The sequence below is a fragment of the Homo sapiens genome, chromosome 20 (genome assembly GCF_000001405.40).
Source record: "Homo sapiens chromosome 20, GRCh38.p14 Primary Assembly".
Taxonomy (NCBI): domain Eukaryota; kingdom Metazoa; phylum Chordata; class Mammalia; order Primates; family Hominidae; genus Homo; species Homo sapiens.
In genome coordinates, this window is record NC_000020.11 from 51,620,753 (window position 1) to 51,636,123 (window position 15,371).

The window sequence follows — 15,371 nt, forward strand, 5'->3', positions numbered from 1 at the left end:
CAAAAACGACACTGGTTCGTCACACGGGGCTGAAAGGAGGGGGGAGTGCGTGAGCTTGTTCAGCCTCAGGTGGGAATGTGTGTCTCAGGCAGCTAAAATTTTAAGCCACTCTAGGCCAGGCGCGGTGGCTCACGCCTGTAATCCCAGCACTTTGGGAGGCTGAAGTGGGAGAATCACCTGAGGTCAGGGGTTCGAGACCAGCCTGGCCAAAATGGTGAAACCCGTCTCTACTAAAAACACAAAAATTAGCCAGGTGTGGTGGCAGGCGCCTGTAATCCCAGCTACTTGGGAGGCTGAGGCAGAAGAATTGCTTGAACCCAGGAGGCGGAGGTTGCAGTGAGCCAAGATTGCACCACTGCACCCCAGCCTGGGTGATAAGAGCAAGGCCCCATCTCAAAAAAAAAAAAAAAAGGAGAGATTTAAGCCACTCTACGTATGACAGTGAAAATATCAAGAGTACTGATTTGGAGGTCACAGATAAATTTTGGGAGGAGGAGAATTCACAAAGAATCTGTGAATGATGAGAACTGACTGTACCTGCCTCTATACAATACTATGCTATTTCAAAAATCCCTGGATTTTTTGAAGCTTCTGTGTGCTATGGACCAAAGGCGGGGTGAGGGCGAGACCCCCAAACATCTAGAGACCCTCCAGTGGTTTGCCATCGTGGCTCTGGTTTCAGATCAGTGGGATTACTATATCCTGCCCCAAAGAGGACCCGGTCCCCCTACCTCCCCAATGCAATAAAGCCTAGCACAGTCCTCACTGGCAGCAGTTCCTGATGTGCACATTGTCTTGGTCAATGTCTGCCACAAGGGCGGGCGATTTCTCATTTGCCCATCCAGTTCACCTCCTTCAAAAGGCTCCTCAATGGTCCTAAATGCTTCCCCTCTCAGGAGGGCAGATGGACCAGTATCTGTGGCCTGGAATTTCTTTCTTATCCAAGGACTTGACTTTCAGGGGTTCCGTGAAATCCCAGGAATCCCATGCATAATTTCATGTGTATGAGTGGATCTGCATCTTTCGGGGGGAGTGCCTGACTTTCATCAGCTTCTCAAAGGGACCACGACCCCCAAAAGGTTAAGAGCATGGCATTAGCACAGGGCTAGAAGGAGGTACTCCCAAACCACTACTGGAAGAAACTCTCCAGCCGGCGCCTGGGTCATTAATCATCCCATCCAAAGCAACCGTGGTTGATGCTCCCCACCCTAGGTAATTCACATGCTGCCCCTCCCTTCTTAAGGGGCCCACTCAAGGTTAGGAGGTTATAGGACAAATCGAACATCATCCCCACATGGCCCTAACGCAGAGGACACTTTACCAGCCGAAAAACGTGGATGTCTTGGTTTCTGGTCACCAGATGTGCATTCTTCGCTGTGCACGTAGCTGTCTCCAGCTTGTCCCCTGTCAGCATCCAAACCTGAAATCATGGCGTGACAGAGGTCCTGTTTATTAGTTTTTGAGGCCGGCCTGTCATCTGCAACAGCTGAGTTTCCAACAACATGGAGCTGAACTTGGTATGTTCCGTTTACCTCCTGCCGACTCATGCTGTCCCCAACACAACACAGCAAGCGCCCTGGCTGAAGGGCTCTGGGACTCCAAGCAACCACTGCTGGTAGCAGCAAAAACTGGCAGATGCTTCTAGAAAGGGCCATTTGGCCACACACTACAGGAGGTACTATGAAGCTCGGTCCTTGGACCGCATAATTCCCCTTCTGAGGATTTTTCTTAAAGTGATAAATATCCTAAAAGAAGGGAAAGGCTGTACAGGTGAGGGGGCACTTCCCTGTCCTACAGGAAACACTCATTTTTGACGCTGTGGACTTTCTATGTAGTTGGATGAGCAAGACAGACCCTTCTGGGGTTTAACTCAGCTTATAAAACGCTGACCGTAAATGAGTCAGGTTCTTCCGTATCGTGCATTAGCTCACACTGCATTTCTCTGCTGTGGGCTCAGAGAGGGTAGATGACTTGCCCCAAACCACACAGCTACCTCTTGTCCTAACCAGGCCCAGAATCCGGGTCTTTAGAGTCCTCATGGAATGTGCTTCCTGCTCTGTGATTTTACCTCATTAACCCTTTTGTTCTCTTTGCTCCCAGCTGGGAGCAGTCTTGGGGCTATCGGTCAAAGAAAATCTGGATAGGAGGGAAAGTATAGGAAAGAAGATCATGACAATTGTCTCCTGAGTGTCCACTACGTGCCCAGCACCCACGCTGAGCTCTCTGTTACCTTCATGACAGCTTCTGGAGGCTGGAAATGGAAGCGCTAAGAGCTTCAGTCATTTGCCAAGGGTCACAGAAGAAGTAAAGGGAGAGGTAGGATGGAAACCCAGGCAGTGAGACGGGCAGAAGGAAGGCACCGGGCACCTCTCAGGGCTGAGCCTCCCGGGCCCTCTCCCCTAGCTGGGTCTGTTTTCCCTCAATATCCCGCCTGTCCTAAAAATAATATTCTTTTTGGTGAGCTTCGTTTAGTCATAGTTCTCAGGGTTTGAGGTAAGAGAACAAACACTGGGGAAGGAATTGGGAAGTTCAAGTTCCAGAAAAGCATGAAAAGAACGATCAGGTGCACGACATGGCTAATGTCCCATGCTGTGATGAAGGCAAGGTACTACAGGAAGGGTCCAAGACCCCAGCTCCAGTCCCGGCTCTGCTGCTTCCCAATGTGAGAACCTGGGGAATGGAGACGCCTCACTTAGCCTCAGTTTCTACATCCATACAAGGGGCTGATTTAGAAAATATCCTGTGCAGCCAGGCGCGGTGGCTTACGCCTATAATCCCAACACTTTGGGAGGCCGAGGCAGGTGGACCACTTGAGGTCAGGAGTTCGAGACCAGCCTGACCAACATGGAGAAAACCCATCTCTACTAAATATCTAAATATACAAAATTATCCAGGTATGGTGGCACATACCTATAATCCCAGCTACTTGGGAGGCTGAGGCAGGAGAATCTCTTGAACCCAGGAAGTGGAGGTTGCAGTGAACCGAGATCGCACCACTGCACTCCAGCCTGGGCGACAGAGTGAAACTCTGTCTCAAAAAAAAAAAAAAAAAGAAAGAAAGAAAGAAAAGAAAAGAAAATTTCCTGTGCAAGATCGTATCTTAGACTTTAATTACCAACTAACCTGCCCCATCCCAGGCACTCCCCTCCTCCTGTCATCTAACAGGAAACTAGAATGGTAAGTCACATGCACACTCTGTGAATAAAATATCTCGTCTTGGGCTAACATAGTTTTGAGAAGGAGAAAAACCCCAGGACAAAGATGGAAGCAGAAAATGGAAACTCCAGAAGTCTTAGGAATGGCCAGGGCCCCACTGCAGACCCCACGATGAAGCAGAAATGGGCCTCCAGCGGCCAGACTTCCGGAAGCAAGGTCCCGTTGGTGATTTCCTTATGACGAACCAGGCCTGTGAGCCAAATGCAAGCGACAGAATTGGGTTTACAAGGAAACAGGCACGCAGGGGTGGGAGTCCCCAGTGGGCCTGAATGTTGCCTGGCATCTAACCTGTCCTCCTGCCATGGCCCTGCTGAAAGGACAGGCCCCAGGATGCAGCAGAGAGCCACTTTTGAGTGGAGGCCGGTGGCAGGCACACGTTTCCAGGAGCTCCAGGCCAATGAGTTTGGTTGTTCACACCTCCCTTGGTCCACTGAGGACCAGGTCCTCACGCGCCCTCTGCTGGCCCCTCCAGATTCAACTCCTAGTATTTTTTTTTGGGTCGCCACTGGTAGAGTGCAAAATGCTAATACGACAGTGTGATGGCGCTGACGGTCACTCTGCTGGGTGGTCACTCACTCACTTGGCCACACGGCAGACAGACCGGCGTGCTGATCACTCAACTAGAATTTAATCAGCAGCCATGCACGCTGGACACTGCTCGGCCTTGAGCACCAGGGAGCCCAGTGGAGTCAGGGGAGTCATCGGTACAGTAAAGGCAAACGCTACACAAGATGTCTTCCAAAATCAGGGCTGGAGGGCCAGGCACAGTGGCTCACACCTGTAATCCTAGCACTTCGGAGACTGAGACAGACAGATCACCTGAGGTCAGGAGTTCAAAACCAGCCTGGCCAACATGGTGAAACCCTCTATCTACAAAAATATAAAAATTAGCCAGGCGTGGTGGTACGTGCCTGTAATCCCAGCTACTAGGGAGGATGAGGCACAAGAATTGCTTGAATCCAGGAAGCAGAGGTTGCAGTTAACCAAGATCATGCCACTGCACTCCAGCCTGGGCGACACAGCGAGACCCCGTCTCAAAAAAAAAAAAAAAAAAAAAATCACAGTTGGAGGGGCAGAAACAGTGCCTGTGGCCCATTGCAGATAAGGCACTCCTGGTGTCCTCTGCTGCTCCTCCCACCCTTTCCCCCTGTGATCTCCCTGCACTGCTGAGGGATAACTGGCATTGCCCTGGAGTGCCCTTCCCTGCGGGCAGCCCGCCCTACCTTGATGCCAGCATTCCTCAGGGTCTCCAGCGTGGGCCGCACATCTGCCTGCAGCTGGTCCTCCACGCCCGTCAGGCACAGCAGTTCCATCTCCATCTCCAGGCTCTCGATCACCGTGGCCACTTTGAGGGAGCGGTCGTGCACACTCAGCTTGGCCTGGACGTAGCGGGCCTGGGACACACCAGCAGATGCAGTCACTGCTTAGGGTGAGGAGAGGCCAGGCTGACTGGCCAGTGCCAAGAGTGGAAGGGCCACACCCGATCCCCACCACACGGGGTGGGGGACCCCAGCAGGTGAGCTGGACCCCACAGGGGTGACATAGGCTTCCAGCTTCCTCACAAGTCCTCCATGTAGACACTGCACAGACCTGAGTCCCACCCTACACTCCACACTCACCTGCTGGGAGACTTCCAGCAAGTCACTTAACCTCTCTGAGCCGTGGCCACGAAATGGCAATAACAGCACCAACCTCATTGGGTTGTCTCAGGGACGGGCACAACCAAGATCTCAAAAAAACAGTAAGTTCTCCCATACACAACATGCACTTTGTAAGCCAAACTGTGGGTCACCAGGTTTTCTAAAGACCAAGTCGAGCTTCTGAAGACCATCAACCCAAACTGCCGCTTCTTCTCTTTATCATGTTAGCAAAAACCTGGAGGAAAACCAGTCATCTAATGGGCCCGCTTGAAGCACATGCTTTTAAAATTAAAAGGCAGGTAGCATTGATCGGGGCTAAAATGCTTGTTAAATAATGGCTTACAAAGAACTCAAATATATTAAAGAGAGATCCAGGCAGTTTCCCCGCATGGAGCAGGGCAGGGCCCCACGAAGCGTGTCCCGCCTCCCTCCCTTGCATTCCTGCACGCTGGATTTAGGCCAGGCACCAGAGACACGGCAGTAAACAAGACGAGGACCCTCCCCTCAGGGAACACACAATCTATGGGATGGGATGACAATAAGCAAGTCAATAATCTGGTTCAACCCCAACATTTTTACAGCTTAAAGAAATTAGGGAGGCCGGGTGTGGTGGTTCATGCCTGTAATCCCAGCACTCTAGAAGACCGAGGCAGGCAGATCACCTGAGGTCAGGAGTTTGAGACCAGCCTGGCCAACATGGCAAAACCGTGTCTCTACTAAAAATACAAAAATTAGCCAGGCATGGTGGCACATGCCTGTAATCCCAGCTACTTGGGGGCTTGAGGGAGGAGAATCGCTTGAATCCAGGAGGCAGAGGTTGCAGTGAGCAGAGATCGTGCCATTGGCACTACAGTCTGGGCAACAAGAGTAAAGCTCTGTCACAAATAAAAAAAAAAAAAAGAAAAGAAATTAGGGAGCCGAACCAGATGCGGTGGCTCACACTTGTAATCCCAGCTACAAGGAGGTTGAGGCAGGAGGATGGCTTGAGGCCAGGAGTTTGAGACCAGCCTGGGCAGCATAGCGAGACCCCGTCTCAGAATAAATGTGCAAAAAAAAAAAGAGAAAAGAAATTAGGGCTCCAAGAGAATGATTTATGCCAAATTTTCCCGAAGGCATACCATATGCCAAGGACTATCTTTAACTACTAAGGATATAAGAATAAACCAGGCCAGGCACAGTGGCTCACACCTGTAATCCCTGCACTTTGGGAGGCCAAGGCTGGTGGATCACCTGAGGTCAGGAGTTCGAGACCAGCCTGGCCAATATGGTGAAACCCCATCTCTATTAAAAATACAAAAATTAGCCGGGCATGGTGACGGGCAACTGTAATCCCAGCTACTCCAGAGGCCGAGGCAGAAGGATCCCTTGAACCTGGGAGGCGGAGGTTACAGTGAGCCAAGATCACACCACTGCACTCCAGCCTGGGCGACAAGAGCGAAACTCTGTCTCAAAAAAAAAAAAAAAAGAAGAAGAAGAACAAGAATAAGAAGAACAAACCAGACTTGTAAAGTCCCTGTCTTCAAAAATATTTTATTCCCGAAAGGAGATGGATAAGATGAATGTTAAAAAAAAATATATGAACAGGGTCAAGTTTATATTCTTCTGGCCTCTCCAGATTCAACTCCTAGACATATTTTTTGGCCCCAAATGGTAGCACGCGATGACAGTGACAAATGCAATGAACAAAGTGAAATGGTATGATGGATGGAAAGTGAGAAGGAGCCTTAGACAGGTGGTCCAGGAAGACTTCTTGGAGGACGTGGCTTTTGAGCTGAGACCCAAAAGAAGCGAGGAAATGGGCCATGGGGCTCTGTGGGTGAAGAGAGTTCCAGGCAGACAGAACGGCAAGTGCAAAGGCCTTCAACAACAGTGAACCCAGTGTGCCCAGAAATGACATCAGAATGGCTCGCATAGGATGAGGGATGGTGGAAGGAGTGACTGGGAGGCAGGTGGGGCTGCAAAGGCAATGGAAAGGTCCCAGAACAACTTACTTCAAAGTCCTGATACTGCTCCTCTGCAAGAGACTTCTTTGCCACCACGAGCACCCGCAGCCCTTCTCGGGCCATGTTGCCACACTGAAAAATAGACCACGGTCGAGTGGGAGCGGTGCTGAGAGCTCCTGACCTCACTGGGGAAGGACCAGTGCCCAAGTGGATGTGCCCCTCCCACAGGGTCAGAGAAAATGGCAAATCAGAAAGTTGCTTTCCCCTACGGCAATCCTCCCTGGAGCAAGCTTTCTATAGGGGAAGTTGCAGAGAGGCAGCCGGTGAGCCAAACACAGCCCACCCACAGGTCGTCTTCAACTAGCACATGTATGTTTCCAAATTTAAGTCAACATTGTGCGGTCTCACACACAAATCTGGACTGCTGAATGGGTGGAAAAACTGAGCATCTGACAAAACCAGGTGCATTTTCCCAAATAACCACAATCAATGATGGCTGAGGAGCAGTGGCCTCCACGTGTTCCCAGGAAGTGGAGGTGTCAAGTGAAGAACACTCCAGCACGTTTTACACGCAAAGTGCAACTCTGCTCAAAATCACAACCTGTTTGTTCATTTGCATTAACTGCCAGGCCCCTGTAGGCATTTGAGTTTGCAACCCTCAAACTGAGAATCTTATGCAAAATGTAAATTCCCCCTAGAGCTAAGAGATGGGACAAAAATGGCCTGAAAACTGCCTCCCTCCTGCTGCTGGCCAACTGTCCACGTCACAAACTGGGTTGTGCAGCCTCTGATGTGGCCCCTCCTGGAACTCACATTCTGGTATAATCGCCTACCCTTTGAGTGTGTGCTGGACCTAGTGACTTGTCCCTAACAAACAGAATGGGCAAGAGTGAGGGGATGTCACATCTGAGATCAGGTTAGTAAAGACAGTGACTTCCATCTTGTTTGCCCTCTCCTGTTCCATCACCTGCTCTCTTTGTTGAAGCTAGTTGCCAGGCTGTGAGTGGCCCTATGGGAGAGGCCCACCTGCAAGGAATAGAGGGCGGCCTCTGGCCAACAGTTGGCAACAACCTGAGACCCTTAGTTCAACAGTCCAAAAGTAGCTGAATGTAGCCCACAACAACTGAGCTTGCTCACAAATGGATCCTGCCCTGGTCAAGTCTTGAGATGAGACCACAGCCCCAGCCAACATCTGAATTACGGCCAGTGGGAGGCCCTGAAGCAGAGGATGCAGTTCAGCCACACCAGCATCCCTGACCCACAGAAACCATTATATATTAAATGGGTGCTGCTTTAAGCAGCTGCATTTCAGGGTGGTTTGTTACACAGCCACCGATAACAAATACAGAGACCCACCTTACCATGCAAGGGGCTGCCTCTGCAGAACATGCTTCCAAGGCCTGGTTTAACTTCCTGCATCACACTTACCTCTTCCTCCAACCAGTCATTGTACTGCACAATGCCAGCCATGACCACATCTGCTCCCTTCATGTAAAACGTAATTTCTCCAGTTGATTCATCCTAGAGAGGGAGGCCGGAAGGAATGAGAAACTGAAAGGAACACCCTCTTTCAGCGGCAAAGCCCGCTTCCCATGACAGACAGTGTACAAAGTGCACTTAACAGACACCAATGTTTTTTCAGTTGGCTGAAGATGAAAAGCGAGAAGGGGCCTCATTTAGGGGCAAAGGCTACAGAAAGTAAAAGGAAAACTCAAAGCACTTGGAAGATTTTCAATGATGAAAGAAAGATCAAATGGATTTAAGACCTTTGTTTTGAAAGTTATTACTATTTCAACTGGAATAGACTCACATGCTATGATTTTAGATTTACACTTGGGACTGCAGATATCATCAAACTGTGGTCCACTGAAAGAATAGGGAAGATAAGGACTAGAACAGGGAGTCTCAACCTCGTCACTGTGAACATTTGGGGCCAGATAACTCTTTGCTCTGCAGGGCCCCTCCTGTGCACTGTACAATGTTGAGCAGCATCCCTGGCCCCTACGCACTAGATGCCAGTCATACACCCTCCATGGTGACAACCAGAATGTCTCTAGACTTTAGCAAATGTCTCCTGGGGGCAAACTGACTGTCTCAGCTGAGAATAATTCCAGATCCCTAAGTCTAACTAAGGACTTGCCTAGAGATCCAATTACCCAGAGTTTCAGTTCACCCTAACCAGATTTTCTGGGTAGTGGGTAGCACCATGGCACAGGCATCAAATGCTTGGACCAAGTACCAGTTTCTAGTTGTGTGCAGCTGGACAAGCTACTCCTCTTCCCTAAACCTCAGTTTTCTCATCTGTAAAACAGGAATCAAGCATGTAGCACAGAGACTGACACATGGAAAGGACCCCTCAGTGGTATAACTGCTGCTGGGATGAGAGTGATTTCCCAAGTCCCCCAGCCATACTGTACGTAGAGAACAAGGCTCAGCCCAGTACTCTCAACAGGGCAATGTGGCCCTCCAGGAGACATGTGGCAATGTCTGGAGACACTCTAGGTGTCACAACGCAGGCAATGTCCTACTAGCATCTGACGGGTGGAGGCCAGGGGTGCTGCTCACCCTCCTACATCACACAGGACGCCCCCAACCACCACCAGGAACTCCTCCAGCCCTAAAAGTCAACAGTGCTGAGACTGAGAAGTCCTAGCTCTGAGGAATGACGGCGCAGCCACAGATCCTTCCCCCATTTTCCCCCAATGATTCGCGTCACTGGGAGGTGGGAGGCAGTAAAGATAAGCAAGAAAACTGAGCATGGCCATCAATACCTTGTGCCTAAATTTTGCTACTCCAGGAAGCCCAGAATAAATGCCCGGAAAGTCTTCATTGAATATGGAACCGTGGAGACAAAAGTGACTGCATCTCAAGCTGGGTGTGGTGGCTCACGCCTGTAGTCCCAACACTTTGGGAGGCTCAGGTAGGTAGATCACCTGAGGTCAGGAGTTCGAGACCAGCCTAGCCAACATGGTGAGACCCTGTCTCTACTAAAATTACAAAATTAGCTGGGCGTGGTGGTGCATGCCTGTAATCCCAGCTACTCAGGAGGCAAGGCTGGAGAATCACTTAAACCTGGGAGGCGGAGGTTGCAATGAGCTGAGATTGCACCATTGCTCTCCAACCTGGGCAACAAGAGCGAAACTCCATCTTAAAAAAAAAGTGACTGCATCTCAGGTGCAAATGCGCCATGCTGACTTCTGATTAGCCCAGTCCCATGAACACCCCCGATTCCTACTTAATTCACCGTCCTTCACATAAGAACATGTCAACCTTGATGTTATCGCACAAATTACAGGTGATGAAACATACAGCTTTCTTGCCTCTCCTGGAAGGTGCCCGTAATTGTCCTGCTGGGGCACGCGGACCCTTTCCCTGTGGTATAAGCCCTGGGTCTAGGGAGTAACAGTATGGACATCCACCTGTTTTCCTGCCGCCCAAAACTACACTTCTGTCTGTTCGGCTCCCCCAAAAACCACGCTTCTATCTGTAAGTTTCCCCCAATAAAACACCCTTTAACGACAAACTGGATTTGCCTGCCTTGTTCTTTGGTTTCAGGCTCCTTTGGAGGCCACTTTGTCTATGCAGCCCTTTCATGGAACAGAAATATCCAAAATCAGATTAGTGGTAGAGTTTCCTCTTTTAGAATAACTTTCAAATGCCCCTTAATCACCAACAATCTTTTAGAACAACATGCTGACTCATAAGAGCACCCCCAGGCCAAGACAGGCACCCACGTTTAAAAGCGTTCAACTGCACACTTTATCTCTGATAGACTGTGGCTATGCCTGCTCTTGACGCAGGCCAAAGAGAGCTGTGGGGTCTGCACATTAAAGAATCAGAGGTTTTATTTTTTCCTTCCCCCCGACAACCAAAGGGTGCTCAACAACATGTGGCTGTAGGAAATGATGCTCCCAGCCCAGCTTCCTCACTAAGAAAAGGGCTTGAGTGAGTTCAGAAGTTCTGTCCAATATAAATACCGCATCAACGATCCCCTCCCATGAGTCACTTCCTCCCACGGAGTTCATCACAAGTTTATTTCGTTCCCATATTATGGCAAGATTACGCCATAAATTTACAGAGATCGGCCGGCTGTGTGGCATTGTTTGGGGGCCTCATCTTTTCCCACCGTGGTCTGCATCTGGCACCTGCTCAAAGGCCTCTTTTAGTCCAGCAATGACAGCGCTACGATGATCTACAGCCACGATCCAAACCCGTGGCTCCACGTGGGAAGGGGGAGAAGGCACTGGAACATCTTGTACGCCACAAAAACAAAACAGGGACACAACCTTCCTGCAAAAAGACATCACACGAGTCCTTCTCCAACCTTGCCTGATTTCTTAAGAGACAGACATTCACACAAGGAAATGGCCTTGCTTTGTGGGTGCAAGAAGGTGCCATCTTGCACTGTGCGTGCACTCACACATGTTTAAAAAAGAGACAGGGGAGACCCAAACTGGGGCTGTCCACAGTCACTAAACCAAGTCAAGAGAATTTTTCTTTTTTTTCTTATTCTTTTTTCTTTTTCTTTATTTTTTTGAGACAGGGTCTTGCTGTGTTGCCCAGGCTAGAGCGCAATGGCACAATCACGACTCACTACAGCCTCGACCTCCTGGACTCGAGTGACCTCAACCTGGACCTCCTGACCTCAACCTTCCCAGTAGCTGGGACTACAGGTGTGCACCACCATGCCCAGCTAATTTTTTTGCTTTTAGTAGAGGTGGAGTCTGGCAATGATGCCCAGGCTGGACTGAAACTCGTTGGCTCAAGTGATCCTCCTGCCTTGGCCTCCCAAAGTATTACAGGCAGGAGCCACCGTACCAAGCCTAGGAGAAGTTTTATAACTGAACTAAAACTTCCTCACATCAGATAACTGGACAGTCATTTGCATAGAGCATTTGGGTTATATGAACACATCATAACAGGGTTTCTCAGGCCCTTCCTCAGGTGGGGGCTGTCCTGTGCATTGCAGGATGCTGAGCGGCATCCCTGCTCTCCACCTATGACATGCCAGTAGCACTCTCAGCCTCTGGTTGTGACAACCACAAATGTTGCCAGACATTCTCGAATGCCCCCAGGATGAGAACCATCACATTAGAGGAGTGTGGTGAGGTTTGTGCCAAGGGGAGAACTAGTCCAAAAGCCCCAGAGGCCCAGTTCCACCAACCCAACCAAAGATAAAGAGGTCAGAAAATGAGAAAAAAATAGCAAAATAATACTTATTTCATTAAAGACAACCTCACCAAGATGGACATTCACAGCACTATTTTTAGTAGTCAAAACCAAGAAAAAAGCGAGGCGCAGTGGCTCACACCTGTAATTCCAGCACTTTGGGGGGCCGAGGCTGGTGGATCACCTGAGGTCAGGAGTTCGAGACCAGCCTGCCCAACATGGTGAAACCCCGTCTCTACTAAAAAATGCAAAAATGAGCCAGGCGTGGTGGCAGGTGCCTGTAATCCCAGCTACTCAGGAGGCTGAGGCAGGAGAATCACTTGAACCCAGGAGGCGGAGGTTGCAGTGAGCTGAGATTGCACCACTGCACTCCAGCCTGGATGACAGAGTGAGACTCCATCTCAAAAAACAAAAACAAAACAAAACAAAAAAACTGAAATTGAGAAACAGCCTAAGCAGCCAAAAAATAAGTTAATGAATGAAATAGTGGCACATTCTTTCAACAGAACGCTGCACATGCGTTAAAAATCATTAAAATCAGATTTTAATAATACGAAAAAATTCTCATCGTATACATATAGTTCAATGAGGGAGGAAGTTTAGGAAGCCTTCTATGGAGTTCAGTGATAATTTTACAAAAATGTGTGTGGATATTTACACTCGGATATGCTTAGAAAAGAGACTGAAAGGAAATCCCTTGAAAAGGTAAAAGGTCTTTTGTTGGGTGAAAATGGAGATGAACTGGTCAGGCACGGTGGCTCACGCCTGTAATCCCAGTACTTAGGGAGGTTGAAGCGGGAGGACAGCTTGAGGCCAGAAGTTTGAGACCAGCCTGTGCAACACAGAGAGACTTTGGCTCTACAAAAAATTTAAAACTTAGCTGGGTGTGGCAGTGCATACCTGTAGTCCCAGCTACTTAAGAGGCAGAGGCAGGAGGATCCCTTGAGTCCAGCAGGTCAAGGCTGCAATGAGCCATGTTCATACCACTGCACTCCAGCCTAGGTAACAGAGTGAGACTCTGTCTTGAGAAAGAAAGAAAAGAAGAGAAAAGAAAAAAAGGGAGGGAGGCAAAAAAAAGAAAGAAAGAAAGGACAGAAGAAGGGAAAGAGGGAGAGGGAGAGAGACAGAAAGAGGGAAGGAAGGGAGGGAGAAAGGAAGGAAGGAAGGAAAAGAGGGAGGGAGGGAGGAAGAAAGGGAGGGAGGGAGAGAGAGAGGGAGGGCAGTTTTGATCCCCCTCTTTACCTGTAACTTTTTGTTCTAAATGCCTTAACTGTGAATGTTTTTTAATAACCTGGGAAGGGGGGCATGCCAGGTTAAAACAAAAATAGATCTGCCCATCTGACAGCATCACAGACTCTAAGCACAGAGTCCCTGTTCTTCCTGCTGGAAGACACACGAGCCACATCTCAAAAAAATATAACATGTCCTTCACAACTAGCTGAAGAGTGGCGTATGCCATTCACTTCTTCTAGGATGGCTGACATTAGGGACTGCTCAATGATAAGTCAACCCTCAAATGACCCTAGCAGAGCCCACAGCCCTACGTCTTGAACAACTTCAGACTGGAACAAAATTAAAGTAATTCGATAGGAGATAATGACACTCATTCCCCAGGAAACACCCCACCCACAGGATCTATGCTGCTGCTTCCAGACCACAGATGTTCTTGACATCAGATGCACACTCAAGATACGGTTTAGAAGCCAGGGATCCAGCCAGGTGTGGACCAGTGGGAAAAGCAGCAGCTGTGTGGGAGAGAAAGCTCCCTCTCCACCCAAGAGTTGCCAAGGACACAGGTCCTGCAGAGTCTGAAAGAACCTATTGGCCTCTGGACATAAAAATCCCCTAACATAGGGCCGAGCGTGGCGGCTCACTTCTGTATCCCAGCACTTTGGGAGGCCGAGGTGGGTGGATCACCTGAGGTCGGGAGTTCGAGACCAGCCTGGCCAACATGGAGAAACCCCATCTCTACTAAAAATACGAAATTAGCCGGGCATGGTAGCACATGCCTGTAATCCCAGCTACTCGGGAGGCTGGGGTAGGAGAATCGCTTGGACCCCGGAGGCGAAGGTTGCAGTGAGCTGAGATCACGCCATTGCACTCCAGTCTGGGAAACAAAAACAAAACTCCATCTCAAAAAAAAAAAAAATCCCCTAACGTGTGATGTTTCAAAGCATATTCATGGTGTGCGTCTCTGGTTCCTCAATACAAGTGCTCAGTGCCACCTCCATCTCCTCCTGGGCAGGAAGTCTTCAAAGTGGCTCGCAATGCCCCCCACCTCCTGGTACTCATGCTGTGTGTCAGCCACCCCCCTGGAGTGGAGCTGGGCCTAGTGACTTGCTTCTGATAACAGCATGAGGCTGACGTGAGGGGAGGTCACCTCTGACAGTGGGTGACAGAAGACTGTGACTGCCATCTCATTCACTCTCACCTGCTCACTCTGAACAGGTAGCTGACAGGGGAGCTGACTACAGGGAGGCCCTCGTGGGAAGGCACTGAGGGTGGCCTCTGGCCAACAGCCAGGAAAGAACTAAGGCCCTCAGTCCAACAACCCACCCAGAGCCAAACTCTGCCAACAACACTGACGTCTGTATGTGGGTCCTACCACCATAGAATCTTAGACCCCTTGAGCCCAGGCTGTGAGAGACCCTGAGCCAGAGGACCCAGCCAAGCCTGCCACAGAAATTGTCCTGGCCACAAAAACCATCAGATAGCAAATAGAAAACAGAGCCCCCAGTTAGGTGTGGTGGCTCATGCCTGTAATCCCAGCACTTTGGGAGGTCGAGATGGGAGGATCATTTGAGCCCAGGAGTTTGAGATCAGCCTGGGCAATATGGTGAGACCCTATCTTCACTAAACGATAAGAATTAGCAGAGCATGGTGGTGTGCACCTGTAGTCCCAGCTACTTGGGAGGCTGAGGCAGGAAGGTTGCTTGAGCCTGGGAGGTCGAGGCTGCAGTGAGCCATGATTATGCCACCGCACTCCACCCTAGGCAACAGAGCAAGATGGACGGAAGGAAGGAAGGAAGGAAAAAGAGAAGAGAAAAGAAAAGAGAAAAGGAAGGAAACAGAGGAGGGGAGGAGGAAGGAAGGAAGGAAGGAAGGGAGGGAGGGAGGGAGGGAAAAAGGAAGGAAGGAGGAAGGGAGGGAGGGAGGGAGGAGGGGAGGGGAGGGGAGAGGACAGGAGGAACTTCCTTACTCCAGGGAAATACATTTTCTGGAGTAAGGGAATGCATTTCCCTGTAAGAAAGACACCAATGGATGTCTAAGACCATGAATAATACTGACCCCATATACACTATGTTTTTTCCTACACATACATACCTATGATAAAGTTTAATTTATGAATTAGGCACAGTAAGAAATTAACAACAATAACTTATAACAAAATAGAACACATAAT

General features: G+C 49.5%; 1 protein-coding gene across 1 annotated transcript in view, besides 2 other annotated features; it reads right to left on the bottom strand.

The window, feature by feature from the left end:
- The window catches only part of ATP9A (ATPase phospholipid transporting 9A (putative)), a 171,877-nt gene that overhangs the window by 24,239 nt on the left and 132,267 nt on the right, over positions 1–15,371 (bottom strand). The window contains exons 16-19 of the mRNA NM_006045.3: positions 8,228–8,320; positions 6,848–6,931; positions 4,440–4,610; positions 1,322–1,420 (exon numbers count right to left, since the gene is read on the bottom strand). Of these exons, the coding sequence (NP_006036.1) occupies positions 1,322–1,420; positions 4,440–4,610; positions 6,848–6,931; positions 8,228–8,320 (447 nt within the window). The remainder of the gene's footprint in view (positions 1–1,321; positions 1,421–4,439; positions 4,611–6,847; positions 6,932–8,227; positions 8,321–15,371) is intronic.
- Positions 3,518–4,050: an enhancer, noted in NCBI's record as "H3K4me1 hESC enhancer chr20:50240809-50241341 (GRCh37/hg19 assembly coordinates)". NCBI's record gives its function as "activates a minimal SCP1, AML or CMV promoter by ChIP-STARR-seq in primed H9 embryonic stem cells {active_cell/tissue: H9 hESC(primed)}" and the evidence as "EXISTENCE:reporter gene assay evidence [ECO:0000049][PMID:30033119]".
- Positions 10,122–11,321: an enhancer, noted in NCBI's record as "BRD4-independent group 4 enhancer chr20:50247413-50248612 (GRCh37/hg19 assembly coordinates)". NCBI's record gives its function as "activates an origin of replication core promoter dependent on BRD2, P300/CBP, MED14 and CDK7 cofactors, and independent of BRD4, by STARR-seq in HCT116 cells {active_cell/tissue: HCT116}" and the evidence as "EXISTENCE:reporter gene assay evidence [ECO:0000049][PMID:35650434]".